We start from the raw sequence: 22945 nt of genomic DNA, 5'->3' as shown, positions 1-22945 counted from the left end.
GGAGTCAGTTCTAGACTGCAGCTACATGCTTTTATATACTGCAGCTCTAGTCTGAGGCGGGTAGGGCAGAAAGTCCCATACCTCATCAGAACTCTGGAGTGGATGAGAAACTATCATGACAGCCTCCCGGGGAAGTTAGGGAAGTGTTCCAAGAGGATCAAGTTGTACTGCCAGGGCTCAGATAAGATGCAGCTTAAGCCTTTGCCTGTATGGAATTGTGCAAGGTCAATGGGGTGTCACAGCCTTTTCCCTGACACAAAGAATAAATAAAAACAGTACCCTCCTTTGCTCTTGCTCCTCTCTACAAAGCACTCTATCAGTTCAGTTGGTGAAGGGTTCACGTACAAACGGGATGCCATCCTTCATTATTCAATGGTCCCACACTGTAATAAAGAACCTGACTTGTTTCTTGATGTTCAACTCCTGATAGCTTTTAAGCTTTACCCTCCTCTCCCTCTTCCCTTTCTGCTCCACACCTGGGCAAACTGATGAGGAAAGCCCAGGTGCTCACTCCTTTGGTACCAGTGAGAATTTCAAACCATATGCAGGAACCCTCACCCCAGCCTTATCTCGCAACCATCATAAAATCCCCAGTGTAATCCCCTGTCCCATTCTCTGAAGACATTCTCCAACCAGCTTGAGAAGCCCCCACCCTGTTGTCTCCCCAGAACAGCCTCATTATGTGAGTAATAAACCTTTTCATATCCTCTTGGTGTGTGCATGTAGAGTCATCAATCTTGACATCTACACCAAATTTTGGATGGTTATACATCCTGTATCTGCAGAGTGACCAAAACACATGTCTTATTTGAACACTATGATAATGTAGATTCTTACCCTGAAAGTTCATTTCAAAGCATTTAAATAAAAATGTTTAAAAGTATATATTGTAAGTTCTCCTTATACTGACTTTCTTTATTTTACCACTTTTAAGAACAGAGGAAATGCAGTTGCAGACAGAATGGAAAAAGTATTTTTCTTATCAATGATGTGAACACCTTGACGAGGAAGAGTTTAAAGCTGAATTCAGGTCAATAGACAAGGCTTGATGACACTGGTCTCAATCCCAGCCCTCTGAACCTTACTCTACTCATGTACTCAAGACTTCCAAACTTTAGCTTCTGGCTGGGCACGGTGGCTCACACCTGTAATCCCAGCACTTTGGGAGGCTGAGGTGGGTGAATCACCTGAGGTCAGGAGTTTGAGACCAGCCTGGCCAACATGGCAAAACTCCGTTTCTACTGAAAATACAAAAATTAGCTGGGTGTGGTGGTGTGCGCCTGTGATTTCAGCTACTTGGGAGGCTGAGGCAGGAGAATAGCTTGAACCTGGGAGACGGAGGTTGCAGTGAGCTGAGATTGCGCCACTGCACTCCAGCCTGGGTGACAAAGCGAAACCTTGTCTCAAAAAAAAAACAACAACAAAAAAACAAATTTTAGCTTCTACTCCAACCCATCTCACTAGAGCCAGTTTCCTATTTCTAAATTACAGCTGACTATGCACAACTGGAGAACATGTAGACATTTCTAGGTAAAAATGTATCCCAATCTCTGTAGCTAGAAAATTATCTCAGTATCTGTCTCCCTGACCTGGCCTCCTGCTTTCCCTGTACTGGATAATGCTCACCTTCCACTCGCTTTCTCAGGTTAGAAACTGGAGATGCATCCTTGGTTCCTCCTTCCTCCTCCATAACCTGTGTCCCATTAATCACTGAACTTTGCTGATGCAACCTCCTAGTATGGCTGACACCCAACCCTCTTCTCTCCCAAGACCCTACTTGAAAATTTCTAATGGGAACCACTAGAATAACCCCTTAAAAAGCTATCTTTTGGATCTGTATATGTAAAGAAGACATATTCAAAATATCCAAAAGAGAATACAATGAGGATGCATTTCCCTCCATACCTGCCCCAGCTTGTGCTGCTTTTTCCAAAGACATTCTATAAGTGGAGAAATGGCTGATTCTAGGACAGGGATAGGAAATACATAAGATGACTCTGGAGCATCTTGTCTTGCCAGAAAGTAAGGAAGTGCTCAAAATACTCACCCCAACCCCTCACAGATAGAGGTATGTTAAAGGAGCATGGGAGCCTACTGAGAGAGCTCCCAATGGTCAAAACCGAAACAATTTGAGCAACAAATAAATGAAGTTGTGGGGTGCTGTGGCTCATGCCTGTAACCCCACTATTTTGGGAGTGTGAGGTGGGAAAATTGCTTGAGCCCAGGAGTTTGAGACCAGCCGGGGCAACATAGTGGGGCCTTGTTTCTACATAAAAGAAAAAAAAAAATTCTGGGTGTGGTGGTGCATGACTGTAGTCCCAGCTACTCAGGGCGCTGAGGAGGGAGGATCCCTTGTGCCCAGGAGTTCGAGGCTGCAGTGATGCAGTGAGCTATGATCACACAAGAGCACTCCAGCTTAGGGACAAGCAAGACCGTCTCCAAAAAATAAATAAATAAATAATAGAAATGAAGTAGTATTGGGTTTTAGCCAAAAGTGAAAAATAAATATCTTTGAGTCCATAGTAGAATAATGACTAAACAAATAAATGGGAGAAGAGATATATCTCCACACAGGAGAAGTCCAAATAATTTATGTAGGTACTCTGTCCTCAAGGAGGGGCAGCATAATTCCCCACCCCTTAGGTATGGGGTAAGCATCCTGACTTCTCTCCAAAGTACACAGCCTGGACAGGAGGAAATAAAGAGTAACTTTACAGTGGAGAAACTGACAAACACTTCCTCAGCCAGGTAATCAAGGCCAATATTAACAGTCATAAATAATGTTGGTGATATATACCCTTATAGGATGTGACGAAAATGGCACTTTACTTCTATGATCTTCCTTCCCCAAACCCACAACCTCAGTGTAATCATGAGAAAAACATTAAATTCTAATAATGGGGCAATCTACAAAATACCTAACCAGTACTCCTCAAGATTACGAAAAACAAAGAAAATCTGAGAAACCACCACAGCTAAGAGAAGCCTGAAGAACATGACAACTAAGTGTAATGTCCCAGAACCAGAAAAGGCTATTAGATGAAAAACTAAGGAAATAAAAAAAACTGTGGACTTTAGCTAATAGTAATGTATCAGCATTGGTTCATTAATTGTAACAAATATACCATACTAATATAAGATGTTAATAATAGGGTAAACTGAGGGCAGGTTATATGGGAACTCTTGTACTACCTTCTCAATTTTTCTGTAAGTCTAAAACTTCTAGAAAATAAAACTATTTTTAAAAATTTCCCCATTTATCAACTATTTGGACAGGAAGTTAAAAATTGCAGGCCTAGGCTAGGCGTGGTGGCTCACACCTATAATCTCAGCACTTTGGGAGGCTAAGGTGGGTGGACTGCTTGAGCTCAGGAATTCCAGACCAGCCTGAGCAACATGGCGAAACTCCATCTCTACCAAAAATATAAAAATTAGCCAGGTGTGGTGGTATGTACCTGTAGTCCTAGCTACTTGTGAGGCTGAGGTGGGAGGATGGCTTAAGCTTGGGAGGCAGAGGTTACAGTGAGCCAAGACTGTGCCATTGCACACCAGCCTGGGCAACAGAGCCAGAAAAAAAAAAAAAAAAAAAGCAGGCCTAAAAGAGAATAAATAATATCTTTATGTCTTTAATTTCTCTACATCTTCTACTGCTAACTTAACTCTCACACTTGGAGCTCCTGCTCTGTTTCAGAACTTGGGCCTTCATCCCTACACAATTTTAGATGGGTATAAGGAGATGAAATCTTAGCGAACAAATTACAGTGTGAACATAAAGAGTTCTTACATTAAAAGAGTGCTAAATGCCACCACAGGTGTGAAGCTCACACTAGTCTTGACGTGGACTCTGTGACTTCTGAACCACTCCTAGGTATGATATCTGAAGGTAAACACATCTACCAGGATAGCAGGGAGAGCAAAATGCCACTCAGGGCCATTTGCAGCCCCCTCCACCATCTGTGCTCCCTTCCTCCCAACAGGAGAACCAGAGACTGGAAGTAAAGACTGCCCAGAATAGAAGTCAAACTACCAAGGAAAGCCAGCCTTCTCCAGCTTTCAAAATTCACACTGGTATCAACACCTATCCCCCATTTCCTCCAATCTGGTCAGTCCCTAGTTCCTCTCATGGACTGCAAAAAAGCATTCTGATCTGGCTGAATCTTTACTTTTAATCTGACTTTCTACTTTAATTTGAACTTGGCTTCCCAACTTTCCTGTTTCTCAAAGAGCAAGGAAAAGTAGTTTCAGGAGCAATTTAGAATCTGAATACAAAACAAGTAAGATTTCAACCTGTACAACATGAACCATTTATATGAACTATATTATAAACTGAAAAGTTACCTAGGAAAATCCAAACTTTTCCTAATAATGTTTCTTTGTTAGGTCCCTCAAATTCCCTGAATCTTTTCTCCACAACAAAAAGGGGCATAAACAAATAAATAAGGTTACAGCTGTGCAGAAACTGTGATGTCAGTGTTCAGAACGGGCCCCAGTAGAATGTTGCTCATCTTTCTTTCTTTCACAGAGAGCTAAAGAGCTCCCACCACACAGAGGCAAATATGTTAAATTCTGTCACCCACTAAGACAGCCATTTTGACTAAGAGTGATCTTGGTTCTAGGGGCTGTGCTTCCCACTCTGCGACTTCTGGTAAGGCCCACATACATCTTCTTGCCAGGAAAGTCAACCATAACAAAGCCCTAGTGCCAGTCCTGTCAGGGGCTGGGTCGCAGGTGGTTACAAAGGCAGGGAGCCGAGCTTTGGGACACTAAGCTCTGTAAACACATGCTTATTGTCCTTGAGTAACTGATGGAACTCAGTTATCTGACAGTGTCCCACAAAGACTGGAGGAGTTATCTTCAGCACCATTAAACAGAAACAAAAGCAAAACAGTTTACTTAGTGCTTCATAAGTTTCCCTTTATCTTCTCAGACTTTATGTTATGGCTGTAAGTGAAAATGATACAGGTCTGATCAATGAGTCTCTTTTTTTTTTTTTTTTTTTTTTTTTTTGAGACGGAGTCTCTGTTGTCCAGCCTGGAGTATAGTGGCGCAATCTCGGCTCCCTGCAACCTCCGCCTCCCAGGTACAAATGATTCTCGTGCCTCAGCCTCCTGAGTAGCTAGGACTATAGGTATGCGCCACCACGCCTGGCTAATTTCTTTCTTTTTTTTTTTTTTGTATTTTTAGTAGAGATGGAGTTTCGCCATGTTGGTCAGGCTGGTCTCAAACTGACCTCAAGTGATCTGCTCGCTTTGGCTTCCCAAAGTGCTGGGATTACAGGGGTGAGCCACTGTGCTCGGCCTGATCAATGAGAGTTTCTGACCAAAGGTTCCCAGCTCAACTTTACAGAAAAGATTATGAACACCAAAACACATCGATTTTAACCATAAATAAAATGCTATTACTTTACATTATGTGACATATGTAAACCAAACTGGAGACTCAGTAACAAATCACATTTCATTTATTAACACAAGAGCAGAGTTGCACAGAGTGGGTTAAAAGGCTCTGAGGCTACACAGGAGCACAAGGACCTTGGAGTAGTGTGGACAGAGAAATGAGTGAAAGGCCAAGAAGAACATCATGTGAGGCCTGCATCCAGTCTGAGCAACGCCTGGCTGGCCCATTTGTTGAAGGTGTCATGTATCACAGGAGAAACCAGCAGGGTGCTCCTAGTCTCACTGGAAGGTAGGGGCTGCCTGTACCATATGTATTCATCAAGCAGAGCACCACACACCACCTCCAGTCCTTGAATTTCAGTTCACTCATTCACCACCCTTCTCTTATAATACAAAATCTCAGATCTGAACCACAAGTCAAAACTCAAAAGAGGTCACATACAAAAGGTGAAACCAACAGATCCTAAAAGCAGTAACAGAAAGGTTTAGGCCTTGAGGCAAGGAGAGAAGGGTACCTGATAAAATCTAGATCAGCATGTCTCTAGAACAGAAGAAACGGTGACCAGGTCAGCTGGCTGGTCCTCCCACTGTCACAGGACAGATTTACTTCCACAAACCCTTCTCTTCCTCTGAGTCTATACTCAACAGTCAAGCAAGCACATTACTAGTACAATGGGCTCAAGGAAGCTTCATTCTGGAAAGAAATTTCTTAACAAACATTAGTCTCATATAAATTTGAGTGTTAGAAAAAACTAGTTTATGTTGCACAATCACTCATGGATACTGTACATTAAAGTTTCAGATCTTTAGATATGTCAGACTATCTTAGGAAGGAAAAAACAAAGAACAGGATGAGGGTTATCTACCTGTCTTCTACTTTCCCACCTTCCACACCACTGTAGATAGTTCACTCTGTTAGTTAAACCAATAAACAGAGTACAAGTACCTGATCGAGCAATGCCACTGTCCCTGTCTTCATTCTGTCCTCTGCTTGGCATATCAACTGGTGTGCTGTGTGCTAAGATAAAGGAACAAGAAAACCATGTTATTGGGCTCTTCAGAGATAAAGTTTTTAAAATGACTGCAGTAATTTTTAAATTTCAAAGTAGGCTACTGCTACTGATGATTGGCATAAGCTTTTAATAGAGATTAACTAGAAGGCAAAATTAAATATATAAAAAGATGATGAGAAGAAAAGAGAACCAAGTAACCATCTCATAAAAATCTGCCTGTATTCAATTGTAAGCATACAAACTTTTCTGAGTGATGTTCAACTCTTAAAAAAAAAACTCTGAATAATAAATGATTCGTGCAGTTGATGCAATGAATAAACATTCTCAGGTAATTTTTTTTAGCCATTTTCCTCATTAGTAGTAGTATTTAAATAGCAATGTATTTCAAAATGCTTTATAATCAGTTTTGGTAGTAACTGTAGGCGACTTAGGGAAGAGAAATACTTGAAAACCATTTCATAAATTCAAAAAATGTTTCTCTGTTTATAACCCACTCTCTTGGCAGATAGAAAACATTTATACTCATTTTCAAATATTTCTTCCTCCATTTCTTTCCATATACACCCATACACAGTATTATTGTAGAGTTACTTAGAAAAACTCATGTTCTGGCATGAACTGTGGAAAACACTCTGAAGTATTACAGACTTCTAGGAATGCTTCAGATTGACCTAAGCTGTATACTTATTGTGCTAGAAGGTAGATATGCTGCTGCTGTAGTGAAGTTTTAAATGGACAAGCAGCCCAGTGCTCTGCCTGATTATTATACTTGACAGCTATTTTTTTGAAGCATGTTTATTTTCACAATTTTAAAGAGAGTATTTAAATGCATTTTCCTCACTCTAAGTAGGTAGGAGCGTGTCAATTTTATCAGGGTGTCAGTTAACTATGGTGCTTAGCATATTTCAGGCTACAAAGAACAGAAAGGAAAATACCATTTGCTATACTCACAACTTTAAATGTTAGTAATGGAGGTTCCTCACATGTTTAATCATGCTAAGACAAGTTAAATCTCAGAGACACCAAGATGACTATACCTGTAAATAACCTAGAAATTGTATTTACACTACTTAGAGAGGGAGAGAGAGAGAGAGAGAGAGAGAGAGAGAGAGAGAGAGAGAAGTCTTCCATGCTCTTATTAGAGTGACTTTTAATGAAACTCCGTGCAGGTAAGGATGCAGTTGAATAAATGGATAAAAGACACCAAGGCAAAGGGAAACAGTTCATAGTAGCAGAAGAGGCCCAGAAAAATCAGAAAAAAACAATCCTCTTGGAAATACTAAGGGCTCATTTCAGATCAAAATCAGCTTACACTAGAGTATTAGCGAAGACATTTACAAGAGAGGTTCATTGGCAGAATTTTCGAAACACCATGGATTTGGCCGCATTTGAAACCAATATCTGTGATCACAAGAGCCCCTTGGATTTCTAGAGAGGCACAAGTAGGATTTTTCCTAAGAACCTGCACAGGATTTATTAATATGTGTGGGTCACACTGTACTCAGCATTCCACACAAACCTGCAAAGAAAGAAGCACTCCGGGTGAGCCGGAGAGGTCCTCCTTCAGCTACCCCCTGCAGCAGTTTGCTGCTGCATGCTTGCAGCAGACCTAGAGATGGAAACACATAGAAGAGGGCAAACAAAGTACACATACAAAAAAAATAAACACAGATTAAAGATAACGCAAAAAAAAAAACCCACGACAAACTCAAATAAAGCAAAACACACACCCACAATAGTGTATTCAGAAAGAAAGAATTTGTTTGTATCTCTGATTTTACCTAGGTTACTTCCAGTACGACAAGGACCCAAACTATTTTGATTTGTGTTCAGTTTTCCCAAATTAGGATCTTGGTTGATGTACTCAAAGCTGTCTTGCAAGCTATATCCGGAGATGGGGGGGAAAAGGAGAAAGAGGACAAAAACGTCAAGAAGCTACTAAAGCTGTTTTCTAATAGACTTCCAAATATAGACAACGACTGATCAGTCACTCAATACTTTTCTTTATAAACAAAGTCTCACATCTACCAAAGGGAATTAAACTTGCAACTTCAGGTGAATTTGTTGGAAGAAAACAAAAGCTATTTTGGAGGTAGCTCAACCCGTGTAACTAAACAACTGTACTTCTAACAATTTCATATAATATAATGAGACACCAAACTCTAAATTTTGCTTCAGTGACTGACACCCGAGATACTGTTATTCATTTCTACATTTTGCTTTAGCAACTGACAGCCAACTTGTTGACATTCATTTTAAGTATTTTACATAAACTCTCAAAATGAAATTAATTTTTACTCTTGGTTAACATCAATGAGCAATTCAGCAACTTTTTTCAGGAATAAAATGCAACAGAAATTATAATTCTTACAGGAGTTTCATTTCACAACTTCTAAAAAGAATTACTCATAAAAATGTGAGGGAAGCAGATTTTAATAATTTATTGTATTTATTAACAATTAAAGACTTTTGCTGTGTGTAGAGCTGACAAAAACGACGACAGAAAGACTTTGAGAATAATACAGCATAATGAAGGCAAAATAATTTTTACTTAAATCTGCACGTAAGGGAATTAATGCAATAAACGTTCAGGTAATCCCAAGGGTCTGTTAAAAACAAATCTCGCAAGAAATAAATAAAAATTCTCATATTGGCTTAAGTCATGACATTCCAATGTTAAATGTTCAAACTGTTTTGTTGAAGAGTAAGCCAAGACTCACTTAATGGTATTCAAATATATAGAGAAATATTTTTAATTTCCCAGGATAAGAAAAAACAGCTTTTACTTGACCCCTAAGAATGTCCTTTAATTTATAACAAGCGCTTCTTTCAAACTTATCAAAGTACAACTGGTGTTTTGTTGTTTTATTTAAAAAATGAAGTATATGAAATATTTCTGCTTGAAAGTTCAAAATACATGAATGAATATGCCAAAATGAGTTTAAGTTCTCAGATATTTCAGAATAATGTAGCCCCTTCCCTTTTGTTCTTTATTTTTGATTTCCCAGGAAATTAAAAATTGGTGACTGGGTAACAGATGGAGACTCAAAACATATAAAGACAGCCATTTGTCTTTAGGGCCACCTAATAAAGTCAAAGGTCTTTTCCCACTCACTGTTTATAGGACAGTAGCCACTTTTAAAGCCCCTTTGTTAATTTGGACTCATTCTGCTTGTCATTTCAAAATGCCTTATGGCCCTTAAAGAATTAGTCTATCTAGAAATACACACTTTAAAAAATGGGGGTGGGGAATGCAAAATCCTACACTTACTTATTTGTACTTCCACAGAAGCTGCCCATTCTAGCAGAGAAGACTTTACTAATCATCAGTTGTGGAGGAGAACTGTGGAGGGGAAAAAAGGAGAGGGGAAAAATAAATTTATGAGTTAAGGAGTCAATACCACCGTTCCACTTCTCAAAACTAGTAGAAAAGGAAGCCCAGACTCACCGTATGTAGTGTATCTTTAAGGTGGAGCCTTTGTAACTCATGGCAACTGAGCCAAACATCATTTCCCCTAACATGTTGACATCGGAAGCTGGTCTTGTGTACTACATGCAAGAAAACAAAATCAAAGTTAGTACATGGAACATGACATGCAATGCAACAGAAAATAATGTTTATTAATCTCGTTAGTGTCATCGGTGATTAAAACTATTTCTCAAAGCTTCAAGTGGTCATCTTACAATCTTAACTTATAATGGCGATTGCCTATTTTCCCCCCCAAAGTATTACTAATGTTTGTGATTTCTTCTCTGTACACAACATCATCACCTAGGATCCAAGTGTTTTATTAGAGTTCATTTTTATTTGTGTTATGAGAAACAAAGATTACTATTATCTCCATTTATAAACTCTAAATACAAAGATTAAATTATGAAAATAACTGTAACTCTTCTCTTGGTACTAAGAAAACATCCTGAAAAAAATATGGTTCGGTATTATTCAGCCAAATAATTAACAATGTGGAATAAAAAATGCCCATTGCTGCAGATAGGGTTTTATGAGGGCCCAAAAGATAACAGATGGTCTGATAACTCTGAAGTTTTACAAAAGTATTTCAACAACATTTGACCCCTCTAGCTTCTGACCAGTCTTTCTCATGCCTTTACCAACCAAAGAGTGGACTGCCTGCCTCCTCTTCCTCTACTCTCACTGGCTTGTTAATCTACCACAGCCTGACTTTACCTCTTAGCTCAAACTAGTTCAACTGCTCCAATGATGACCTCCTCCCTCTTGGTCAAATCCAATGGACCCTTTCCAGTTTGCTTTATTAAACTTCTCTCAATATATTTGATGCTGTTCATGACTCTCCATTTTGACTCTCTTCTTTCTCAGATCATCCCTTACTGTGGTTTTGCCTGGAGGTCAACCCTACTAACTGCCCGCCTTTTCAACTATTCTTTTGATTTTGATTATTATTTACATAGAATACCTCCTACATCTTTGTCTCTAGACCAAGAGCTCTCCTGGAGCTCTAGAATCGTATACCCCAATACATTCATTCACCTAGTGACATCTGAATGAGTGTCTTGGGATGCAGAATTCTGAGCACCCGTGCTAAGTGCTAGTGACACAATGATGAACAGGACAGGTATGAATGCTGAGCAAACCAGTGTGCCACCAAAGCAACCATGGTTCTGCACCCCGACCTGCCAACTATATTCTCTGTCAGTGTGCTTTCCACCCAAGGAAAAACATGGGAATCACCCTTAACATACTCTTCCAAATCTTTTTTTAAAACTCCAAATACATACACACACACAGACACACAAGCATACATACGCTGACGCACAAATACACACTTACTTATGCACGGTTGCAGAGGCGGAAAGAGAAAGATAAATCTGGGCCGGGCGCGGTGGCTCACGCCTGTGATCCCAGCACTTTGGGAGGCCGAGGCGGGTGGATCATGAGGTCAGGAGATCGAGACCATCCTGGCTAACAAGGTGAAACCCCGTCTCTACTAAAAATACAAAAAATTAGCCGGGCGCGGTGGCGGGCGCCTGTAGTCCCAGCTGCTCGGGAGGCTGAGGCAGGAGAATGGCGTGAACCCGGGAAGCGGAGCTTGCAGTGAGCCGAGATTGCGCCACTGCAGTCCGCAGTCCGGCCTGGGCGACAGAGCGAGACTCCGTCTCAAAAAAAAAAAAAAAAAAAAAAAAAGAAAGATAAATCTATCAGCCCTGCTCAGCTAGGTTCCTCTCTCTCGTTATAGCTCAAACCAACTTCTTCCCACTATATGCAGACAGAAACCAACTGGTTTTCACATTCTTTATTACTAACTTCCACCCACCTCCTTCATTTATAATCTGCTTTTTCTTGGGGTACAAGGGCCACATGCCAACTGTGATTCTCAACCTGCTGAAAATTCTACTCCATACTTTTTAAACTGCAGACTGCTGTGAGACCCTGGAGCACTGTGTCTCAAAAAGGGCAAATGCATGGCACAAATCCTAACTATGAAAAAACAAAGTTCTCCAGACCCATTTGCTGGTAACTTCCCTAGTATTGTTTTTCCAGCAAAATAGTAGAAAAGATTCTACATGGGTTTAAGAAAAAGTTCAATATATCCTCCATCAATTAATATTCTTTTGCCATTCAATATTTATAAAACATTTCTTCCTTTTTATCTTGTTAGCCAATATTTCTCAATAACCTTAACCCCTATCCTTATACACACACACACACACACACACACACCCCACACACACAGTGTAAAAAATGCCATCAGCCTTTTATCCTTCATACTCAGATTAGATCTTGCCATTTCTTTCTGTTCCCATACAAGGCTTTCTTCCTTTTACTGGTATGTTCTATTTTCTTAGGATGCCCATATACATTCCCAGAATCCTTAGGAATTCTTATAACAAAACTGGAAAGTACATGTTTATTATTCTGGATCAGAGAGCAAAGGAAACAAAGCAAGGTAATTTACCTGACTGGCAATATTTCTTCCTCATCCAGTTCACAGTAGGCTGTATTACCTCTGCTTGATTACAGTTTTTATTGGAGATAAAAGCCAAAGAGCAAAAACAACATCGATGTGAAACATTTAAGAGTACTCTGTTGAATACTTGTCCTCATATTCCTGGAGTAGAGCCCTCGAGCAGGCATTATTTCCCAAGGAGAAATTACAGTAAATAACTTTAACCTCAGGGGCTATTCCCACAGAAGGGATGGTTGTACCTGGTACTTTGGAAGCTGTTCCTTAGCATGATGTGAAGATCCCCCAGAAGAACTGTGGGAAGAGATGCTGCTGCTGCTACTGCTGCTGACACTGCTGCTTCCCTGGCAGCACTTGGCTGATATTTTAATAGGAACATCCTCTGTTTTCTAGGTTAAGAGAGACAGGCAAGGTAAAAGATTACTAAGTATATCAGGTTCGTCAACAGTTCTTCATTGGGAATTCCTTTTTAAAAGCATTCTGGTGCCTAGGTTGCATTAAAAAACAGAAGCTTTTTTTTTTCCCCAATAATGACAAAAACATGGTTTGGGATGGCAGAATGCTGAAGAAGGGTTCTAGACAAAAGGAGGTAGGTTATGTATTAAGACTTTATCCTCTTTTAATAATTTAACTATTATTTACACTTCAATTCACATAATTGACCTCTGTTTTGGTTATTTGAGTTTTGATTATTAGCTTTTTAGTATTATGTAGAGTCATAATCCATTACATTGATGAGGAGAAAGATGAGGCTTCAAATCTAAATTTTTACTAAGCAAATGGAACTAATAAAACAAAACTATTAATTTGGGCAGACTGGCTCGTAGGGTTTTTTGTTTGTTTGTTTGTTTGTGAGATGGAGTCTCACCCTGTTGCCAGGCTGTAGTGCAGCGGCATGATCTCGGCTCACTGCAACCCGTGCCTCCCGGGTTCAAGCAATTCTCCTGTCTCAGCCTCCAAGTAGCTGGGACTTACAGGTGCCCACCATCACGCCCAGCTAATTTTTTTGTATTTTTAGTGGAGATGGGGTTTCACCATGTTGACCAAGATGGTCTTGATCTCTTGACCTCGTGATCTGCCCACCTCAGCCTCTCAAAGTGCTGGATTACAGGCGTGAGCCACCGCGCCCGGCCTACTTGTGTTTTTAATGACACACCTCCTCTACTACTCCTTTAAAGGTAACAGGAAGGAAAATCATGAGGTTGAATTTGTAAGGGATGAAACCAAAACCCTGAAACAGGAGCTACTGTGAATTACATAGCATGTGATGGAAATATGGTCTTCAAAGGTTAAAGACAACAGAGGATGCTCTACTATACATTCCCTAGAGTTTGCCACTAATTTTTATCACAGTGACAAACGTATAAGGATAAACCTTTATTAATATTTACCTCTCCCCAAACATATTACTCCCTACAGAAGCTTCCTGCACCCTCTATGATAAGTTATTTCTATTCTGAGTCTTCTTTGCCTTTTTTTTTTCCTTGTGTAGCTTTTGCTTGGAAAAAAACATGAATGCAATTGCAGCTTATCTAATCTCCAATGTGACAGTCACACTGGTGGTCTAATGCAAATGCCTGCAGTCATGTGCTTGATACAAACTCATGACGTTTTGTGCTTGCCAAGGGAGGCTGGGGCGGTGGGGACTGAAAATGGGAAAAGAACGTAAGGAAAACACAAAATGTGCTGGACCACAACTGTCACTCCAGCAATGATGGCATTCAAAGTGGCACTTGATTATTCCTGAGCACCCAGCACTCCCTCAACACGCTAAAGATAAAGCTGTTACTCAATCTCACTTAAGCCAGAAACACAGCCCCTCAGAGGGCCTAAGTGACACGAGGTGCCACTGCTTCAGACTGCTAGACCCTTTGGCTGGAGTACAATGCTGAACAGTCTATAATTGGAGAAACCACCTGGTGTAGTGAATAGAGCACTGACTGGATTCTTTTGTAGCCTTGGGCAAGCTACAAACCTCCTGAACCTAAGATGCCTTTTTGGTTAGATGAATGCTTCTAAGAAAGCCTATGTTTCCAGATTCCAGCATTATCAGTGCTCTGGTACACTGAAGATTCCAGTTCCTTTTGAAAACTTGTGTTTCTTTTCCCCTCCACCTGCCACCACTATGAGCAGCCCCAGTGATAGCTGCTCAACTAGACCATCCATGTGAGGCCTTCAGAGAAATGGGAAATAATTCAAGAAACTAAGAGGTAAACCATCTCCTGTCCACCAAAGGGTCAAGTGCTGGCTCACCTAAATTTCTGTTACAAATCTAACCTGGAAAGCCTACAGTGAATCACCTGAGAGATTTCTTGGTTTCCCCCTCCCTCCCTTCACCTACCTAACAAGCCCAACAACTACTGTAATGATTAGCCACCTGGCAGAACTCCACTTTAAAACACTGTGGAATCCACCCAGCTAAACTGTGTTTAACCAAACACTTCCTTCCTGCAGAAATGATCCTTATCAAAAGCAGGAAAACAACCCCTTGGCCCTGATGAGACAAAGACTGCGTTATAAACTGTTCATTTACTTAGCTGCACATTCTACAAACTGCCAGTATTTGGTCAGTATGGGTAGCAACTTATTGAACATAAAAAGAATGAATACAAGTGGATTTATTTAATTTGTAGGCATCTGAACAAATACTGAAAAGAGAATGAAAGGTCTAAAGTGAATTTACAAGTACCCTGGTATCATATCCAAAAAAGACCCAGAAAGGATCAGACTCTCCTCACCTTAAACATGTTACTTTACCATTCCCATTCTGGTTCCAAGGGATCAAGAGCTGCTCTATCCTCACTCTACCCATTGCTTGTCGCCCACCCTACACCACCACCACCACCACCACTACCACCCAACTCTCCACAAAAAAAATGGGAAATAAATAAAAGCTCCCCTGGTCAGAAGGGTTTGAGAAACAATCCTTTTTGAAGATAACAATGCAGGTTTGCATATGGAAGTCCTGTAAATAAGCAAAGCTGTTTAATTTTGTTTAACCCAGTGCTACTTATTATTATCCATGAGAAACACTGGACAGAATGATCTTCACACTAACACTTTATCACTTTATGAATTTTAGAGTTCTGCTTTCCCATTACATTTGAGGCACTCACTTGGCATCAAAATCTTACTGGATTGCAACTCACCAGCAAATTTACCTCTAGTACTATTAATAGTACACTGCTTAGCTCCTGCCATGATTACTTGCTAACAGTTTCACTTGTGTTTAGCAGTGAGCATACTCATGCCTGTTGGGGGTAGGGCTTTGATTAAAGGATTCAATGCTTGCTTATGTTTCTTCTGAACCATTAATGGCACTGTATAATATAACTCAAAGAGAAGATGATAGATTAATAAATGATTGATCAGAAGGGTGGTTAAAAGCACAAAAGAAAAGGAGAAAGCAAATCAGCATTTCATACCTGAGCTGTCACCTCCTCAATCTTTTGAACAGCTTTAGAGTCAAACAAGACTTGTCTGCCTCTCCTGTCACAGTCCTGGTAAACTATCAGGCGAATCTCATTCAGGTCAAACTCCGAACATGACCAACTGTGGATTAAAAAGGGCAAAAGAAGTTATGTTATCTGCAGCACATGAGATGATCACAGACAGATAAGCTTCCCAGTCACCATGCCTGTGTGCACATCAAAAGGCCACAAGCATGCAGGGCTAGTGATCCCCTCAGAACTGGGGCACCAGTGAGCCTGGGACAGATAGCCTTGTATGTGGATTCCAAAGGGCCATATGAAAATTGCCAGTTTTCATGATAAGGGCTGAGAAGACTGCTTTAAATAATAAATCACTGGAGAGAAAGCTTCTCCTTCCAAAGCCAATTTGGACACAGATGGCAGTCAGAAATCACAAGGACATGCAGAGAAGACTAAATTTGGATGCCTGGGTTCTGGGGACAGCATATCCGAGTTAAAGGAGTGTTAAGGCTTCTGTGTTATTGGGCAGGGAACCATTTGGAGCAAGTCGGTAGAGCCTTCTCTTCTTTCCCTCACCCACACTCAGGTCAAATTAAGAGGAATTACATACCCTAAAATTTATTATCTTCCCCGATTATGGCTAGCTCTAATCCAGGAGTTTCAGAAACCAAGTGCATCACTGTAGAGCACTGGAATTGCTAGCAATTACAGTCAGCAAGAAAGGAAGCATGTTTCTAAGCAAACCAAAAGCAACTGGGATAAAACTGCTCTGAGGAAAACATAGGTTCATTCTTAATAAATTACAGAGTGAGGGAACTACAGAAAAGATAATCATTTAAAAGTGCACTGCTTTGGATATACTCAGTTTTTAACCCATCAGTCCAGTCAACACATATTTGAGTGTCTGTGATGTTCCAGGCACTGTGGTTGCTGCTAGAGACTCAGCAATTAATTAACCAGACAGACCTGGTCCCCACCCTTATGGAGTTCATGATTCAGTGGGGAATGTTAGGCAAATAATCACAGACGAATGTATCACTACAAACTGTGAAAAGTACAAAAAGGAGCAGTAAACAGCTTCAGATTTCCAGATTGAAGGGGTAGGGGAAAGGGACAGAGAAGTCCCTAAGGACTTGAAGTGACATGTAAACACAGACCTGAAGAAGCAAAACAAATGATGCGCACCATAGGAACAGAGAAGGAGGTGGTAAGGTGTAAGACTGCTGCACTGGAGAAGGAAGAAGAAAAAAGGCCAGAGAGTGAGTGCCGTGAGGTGGAAAGGACGGCAGGCAGGGGCCAGGATCATGTTCTCCCTCCATGAGAAGCCAAGGAAAACAGACGCTTGATAAGATCAGGTCTGCACTTTTTGAAAGTTCAATCTGGCTGTTAAGGAAAATGGGGGTGGAAGAGATGAAGACTGGAAGCAGGAAGGCCAAACAGAATTCATAATAAGAGTTCTGGCCCTTCATAATGAAGGCTAGAGCTCCAGCAGCAGAGGTGGGGGAAAGGGGACAGACACTGGTGGCATGCTCAGAGGACAGAGTTGAGCCGGTTTCCCAATGGACTGGAGAGGTGCCCGAGGTGAAAGGGGGCCTTGCTTAGAGAAGCTGAGGGGGAGCTCTGACAGGACAGAGGAGGATAGATGGACACACAGACAGACTAACAAAAGCAAACTGTAAAACTAGGAGATGATATAAATGAAATAAGACACATCTGGATTCAAACCCAAATGCCTCTGGCCTCCTAGTTCTTCATCAGTACAATGAGAATATTAAGGCTGCCCTCACAAAGCTGTCCTACAAAGCGTAAAGTGCCTCACACAAAGTGTGACACACAGTAAGTGCTCCAAAATGGCAATAATTGCCTCAGAGGATTGGTAATGTTATGATTTTTAAAGAAAATTAATACAGTGTCTGGTACTCAATCACAAATTGTGCATTTTTGGTCTTTTCCTTTTTCAGGCAGTTAATACTGAACATGTTCTTTTTGGGTAGCAGATTTGTTTTCTTAAATCCCTACGGCAAAACATATAAAGTTCTGGTTGTACCTTCTTTCAACAAGCTGTGCCCTAAGTTATCACGCCCAGCATCCTTTCCTCCTAATCTTGATAATAATAAGCCAAGTTTATTTTCAAACCATCTTCCCTCTACTCTCAGTCCAGAGGGAGTCCATGTTTCAGGTCTGGCTAATGAGACATGGCCACATGACCCAAGCTGGCTGTGTGAGCCAGCCCCAAAACTCAGTTGTTCAGCTTGTAAATGGTAACCCTGGAGTTGGTGGTGGCTATTTTTGCCATCATGAAGTAAGGGCCTGTCTGAAAATGAAGTCAGCAAAAGTCTGCGTGGAGGAAAGTAGAGGTGAGCAATAGAATGAAACAGATTCCTGGCAGTACCCAAAGCCAGCTGTTCCTGAGTAAGCACTATTCCTGGAATTAGTTCACTGTCACTTACAATCAACACAGTCTGATGACTATGACCCAGACCACTAAATTTTAAAATTACACAAGGCCGAGGCAGGCAGAACACTTGAGGTCAGGAGTTCAAGACCAACCTGGCCAACCATGGCCAACACGGTGAAACCCCATCTCTACTAAAAATACAAAAATTAGCCAGGCGCACTAGTGGGCACCCATAATCCTAGCTACTCAGGAGGCTGAGGCAGGAGAATCGCTTGAACTTGGGAGACAGAGGTTGCAGTGAGCCGAGATCGCACCACTGCACTCCAGCCTGGGTGACAGAGGGAGATTCCGTCTCTAAATAAATAAATAAATAAAATGAGGTCATTAAAAAGGCTCTGAAGCTATATATTATTATAACATAGTACATATGTTGATTTTGTTAAAAGTAAAAAAAATCAGATTTAATTGCCTTGCATTTTCTTTTAAATGAATTTTGCCCTAATAATTACATTTTGCCAAGACAGCATTATAATTTATAACCAAGTTGTTCAATCCTTATTTTTGAAGAATAACACATATTCAAATATCAAACTGAAAACAGCTACTTTAGAAGAGATAAAATTTAATCATGATCATAACACCTTATTAAATGTTTCATGTTATTTTTCAATGAAAAAAGGATGGAAATAAAAATCATGGACAATTGTTCTGATTCAGGAGTCTAAAAATAATTTTTTTAATTTAAAAATTTTTAAAAAGACACAGAGGGGAAAAGTATGTATTTCAGATTGTCTCATTTTTTGATCCAAATGCTTTAAAAGTATTTTATAAGATACGAGTGATGGACACAGTGGCTCGTACCTGTAATCCCAGCTACTTAGGTTGCTGAAGCAAAAAGGATCTCTTGAGCCCAGGAATTCCAGACAAGACTGGATGACATAGCAAGACCCAGACTGTTTAAAATTTTTTAAAAATTAGCTGGTTGTGATGGTATACACCTGTAGTCCCAGCTACTTAGGAAGCTGAAGTGGGAGGATCACTTGAGCCTAGGAGTTCAAGGCTGCAGTAAGCCATGATCATACCACTGCACTCCGACTCTGGTCTTGGTGACAGAGTGAGATCCCGTCTGTTAAACAAACAAACAAAAACAAAACAAAACAAAACGGTCAGGCACAATGGCTCATGTCTGTAATCCCAGGACTTTGGGAGACCGAGGCCGGCTGATCGCTTGAGCCCAGGCGTTTGTGGGCAACAGGGTGAAACTCCATCTTTACTAAAAATACAAAAAGTTAGCTGGGCACGGTGGTACACACCTGTAGTCCCAGCTACTGGAGTGCGGAGGCTGAGGTGGTAGAATCACCTGAGCTCGGGAAGTCGAGGCTGCTGTGAGCTGAGATCGCATCACTGCATTGCAGCCTGGGCAACACAGGGAGACTCTATCTCAAAAAAAAAAAAAAAAAAAAAGAGGAAAACTCTATTCTTCTTACATATGAATACTGTCTTTGGTTTAATACATAAATATAATTTTGACATTGACATTTCCTTTTTTTGGAGACAGGTTTTTGCTCTGTTGCCCAGGCTGGAGTGCAGTGGCGCCATCTCGGTTCACCATAGCCTCAACCTCCTGCTCAAGAAATTCTCCCATCTCAGCCCCCCAAGTAGCTGGGACTACAGGCATGTGCCACCATGCCTGGTTAATTTCTTTGTATTTTTTGTAGAGAGAGGGTTTTACCATGTTGCCCAGGCTGGTCTCAAACTCCTGAGCTCAGGCAATCTGCCCGCCTCAGCCTCCCAAAGTGCGGTGAGACACTGACATTTTAGTATTAGTAGAGGAAAAAACAGTTGCATAATTTGGTAAAGGAAACAGAAGCAGGACAAAGGCCACCAGTGCTTCAGAATGAGACAGGCTTGGGATCAAATCTCAGCTCTGCTTCCCACCGGTTTTATAGTTTTGGGAACTTCTCCCCTAGGAGTACTTATAGGTCCTGTTGTGAAGATTAAAAGAGATAATCTATGGAAATTCCCAGCACACTCCCAGCCCCTTTCCCTGCCATCCCTTATACACAGGACTTGAGCTATTGGTAGCTCCATGGCACACATATTCTCTTCATATTCACATTCACTTCTACATTCAACCAACAGTTACTGTGGAGCTTCCAAGAGCACTGACCACAGTTCCTGGTGCTTTACTGATGACATCTCTTCATATGACTGGGGCCACTCGGCATGATTCAAAAGGGGTATGAAAACAAGCCTTGGGGCTTTTGCCTAAAAATAGCTGACCACTTCAGGGAAATGTATTCTAATCTGAATTATTTCATTTCTGTTTTTGCTGAACATAAAGAATGAACACTGTCCTTGGCATCAGGGTATTATTTATGTCCACTTTATGCCTTCAGGCACAGTAAGAGAAGATGATTTGTCTACCTTTTCTTATTGTAAAATTTAAGCAAAATGACTTATACAGACTCTTTTTGGTTTTAAAATTCCATGATGCCAGGATTTGCCTGGTTAGCATTGAAGCCAGGCCTCATTTCTGAAACTACTCATCAAGATTAGAAAAGCAAGGAACCAAAGTCTCAGTTACTTCCCTGAAACATGACAGACACTAGTTCAAGTGATCTGAAACACAGAAAACAGAATTCTCTTTAAAATATCTAGAGCCATGTACTGTAGTTTAAATTGTGTCCCCAAAAAAGATATGTTCAAGTCCTAATTCCTATACCTGTGAATATGACTTTGCTTGGAAACAGGGTCTCTGCAGATATAATCAAGTTAAGATGAGGCCATACTGAATTAGTAGGCACCCTAATCCAATGACTGGTGTCCTCCTAAGAAGGAGAAAATTTTGGACAAAGACACAGAAGGAATAATGAACAGGGAAGTCACTGCAGACTGAGGGCACAGCACAAACACAAAAAGACAGTTATCACTGGGTGCTTGGGATGTGTCTCCTACAGAAGAACCACACAGCAAATGAGGCTAGAAAGGCACCTGAGGACTACTTGTGAAGGACTTTAAATTTTATGCCAAGGAATGCATCTGTTGCTCTACAAGCTGTGGTGTGCCAATTCCAAGATTTCAAGAAAGAGAATGACACGATCTGACCTGTGTTTTAGGAAGAGAACTAAAGTGATTTGAGAAGACCATTTTCAGGGCAAATGCAGAGGTAGTAGTGACTTGTAAATCCTGGGTTTCAAGGAGTAATGGCCAATAAGCAAAAGAGCAGTAGTTGTATAACATGTTGCAGGGTGATTTGCTATATCCTTTGAGACCAGTTCTAGTGTGGGTGTTGTTTCTTCTCTTGAACTTTTACAGGAATCAGAGTAGAAGTGGTCATGGGTATCCCCATGTGGAAAAAGCATGATCTCTGTTTTTCCTCCTGGTCTCACACAAGGAAGCCTCCCCACACAGTCAAAAATAAGTTTACATAAAGAGTTTAAAGAACAGTCTTGTGATCCAAGAAGGTAAATATTTAAACAGTCAGGAATGATAGGAAACTTTCAATGGTCCAAGAAAAGGCAAAATGAAACAAAACAAAAACAAACAATAATGATGACAACAAAAACTGGCAAAAATACTATCCATTTAACCAGCAATTCCTGTATGCCTACTACTTGGCAAGCATTCTGAGATAAAGCAATGAGCAAACCATAACCCTGCTCCTATGAAACGCAGTTACATTTTCCAACCACTCTTTAACCCTATTCTATATTCTTTTTTCTCTGCCAACCTCCACCGTTTCCTTATTCTCTCAAAAAACACCTTCTAAGTACAAACAGAAATCTCTCAAAAGGTTTGCTCAAGAAGAGTGGGGAGACCCAAAGAGTTACACCCTGAAAATAAATGAAGACTGGGGGTGGAAGAAAAGGGAAAATTAAGCTTGACATAGCAATGAGAGTTCACCCTGTCAGCACAAAATACACATTATTTCCCACCCAGTAAAAGCTGTTTATTTCAAGAAAAAACTTACGTAAATAGATGGCAGTAACAGATTTGGAATTCATTTATCTTTTGCTATGTTAGTACTCTCAGGAAGACTGTGTTGGCTCTCCTTTCTTCCCCTATTTTGCACTTATACAGCCTCAGCTGTGTGAATTGCCTGGAGCAATTTCAGTGGAACTGCATAAAAAATCACCACTGAGTTGCTATCCTGTGGTCAGGAGTATAGTGAAAAGTGCTTAAAGTTCTTATCAGAAGCTTTAATATATATTGATAACATAAAGATATTAATATTAATTTACAAACAATTCCAATTAAATGTAGTCCACTGTTATATTACCAACACAGAGCTATACTGCATGTTGGTTACAATTCTTCCATCTTTAAGAAAGTAGGTGATATGTAAATCCTTTATTCCTTTTGTAAAGGAAAATGTGGAATGAAAGAATAAATATGTTTGATCAGCAGCAAAAGCATGGAACCATACTTCTGAGTTCATTCCTTCTGCACACCTTTGAGTGTGTGGCTTCACACAGGCACCATGAAAGGTACCAGGAACAGAAATTAACTATATCCAGTATTTACCTCAATATGCTTACAACTGGGAAGGGAAAGGCCAACATATAAATATTAAGTTAACTATATTTTTACAGGTGCCAAGATAAATGTCTATAGGGACTTATGGGGACTCTACAGGATAAAGAGGTCAAGTCCACACAGTTGGGTGAGTGATGGATGTGAGTCACAGAAGACATGATGCTTGGGACACGGATTAGGATTCACCAGGGTAAACAGGGCTTCTAACTCTAGCTCTGCTGCCTTC

General features: G+C 40.6%; 1 protein-coding gene across 12 annotated transcripts in view; it reads right to left on the bottom strand.

Annotated features, from left to right (window-relative positions):
- FNIP2 (folliculin interacting protein 2) overlaps positions 1-22945 on the bottom strand; it is a 139025-nt gene that overhangs the window by 66232 nt on the left and 49848 nt on the right. For 7 of the 12 annotated variants that reach the window (XM_005263158.3, XM_047416018.1, NM_001366843.1 and 4 more), the window contains exons 2-8: positions 15777-15903; positions 12594-12740; positions 9858-9958; positions 9681-9752; positions 8191-8291; positions 7929-8018; positions 6343-6414 (exon numbers count right to left, since the gene is read on the bottom strand). In XM_005263158.3, the coding sequence (XP_005263215.1) occupies positions 6343-6414; positions 7929-8018; positions 8191-8291; positions 9681-9752; positions 9858-9958; positions 12594-12740; positions 15777-15903 (710 nt within the window). The remainder of the gene's footprint in view (positions 1-6342; positions 6415-7928; positions 8019-8190; positions 8292-9680; positions 9753-9857; positions 9959-12593; positions 12741-15776; positions 15904-22945) is intronic. The other 5 variants (NM_020840.3, NM_001346043.2, NM_001323916.2 and 2 more) reach the window with 1 other exon arrangement.

The sequence above is a fragment of the Homo sapiens genome, chromosome 4 (assembly GCF_000001405.40).
Source record: "Homo sapiens chromosome 4, GRCh38.p14 Primary Assembly".
Taxonomy (NCBI): domain Eukaryota; kingdom Metazoa; phylum Chordata; class Mammalia; order Primates; family Hominidae; genus Homo; species Homo sapiens.
The sequence above is the reverse complement of the archived record's forward strand: the minus strand, read 5'-3'. Positions and strand labels throughout refer to the sequence as shown.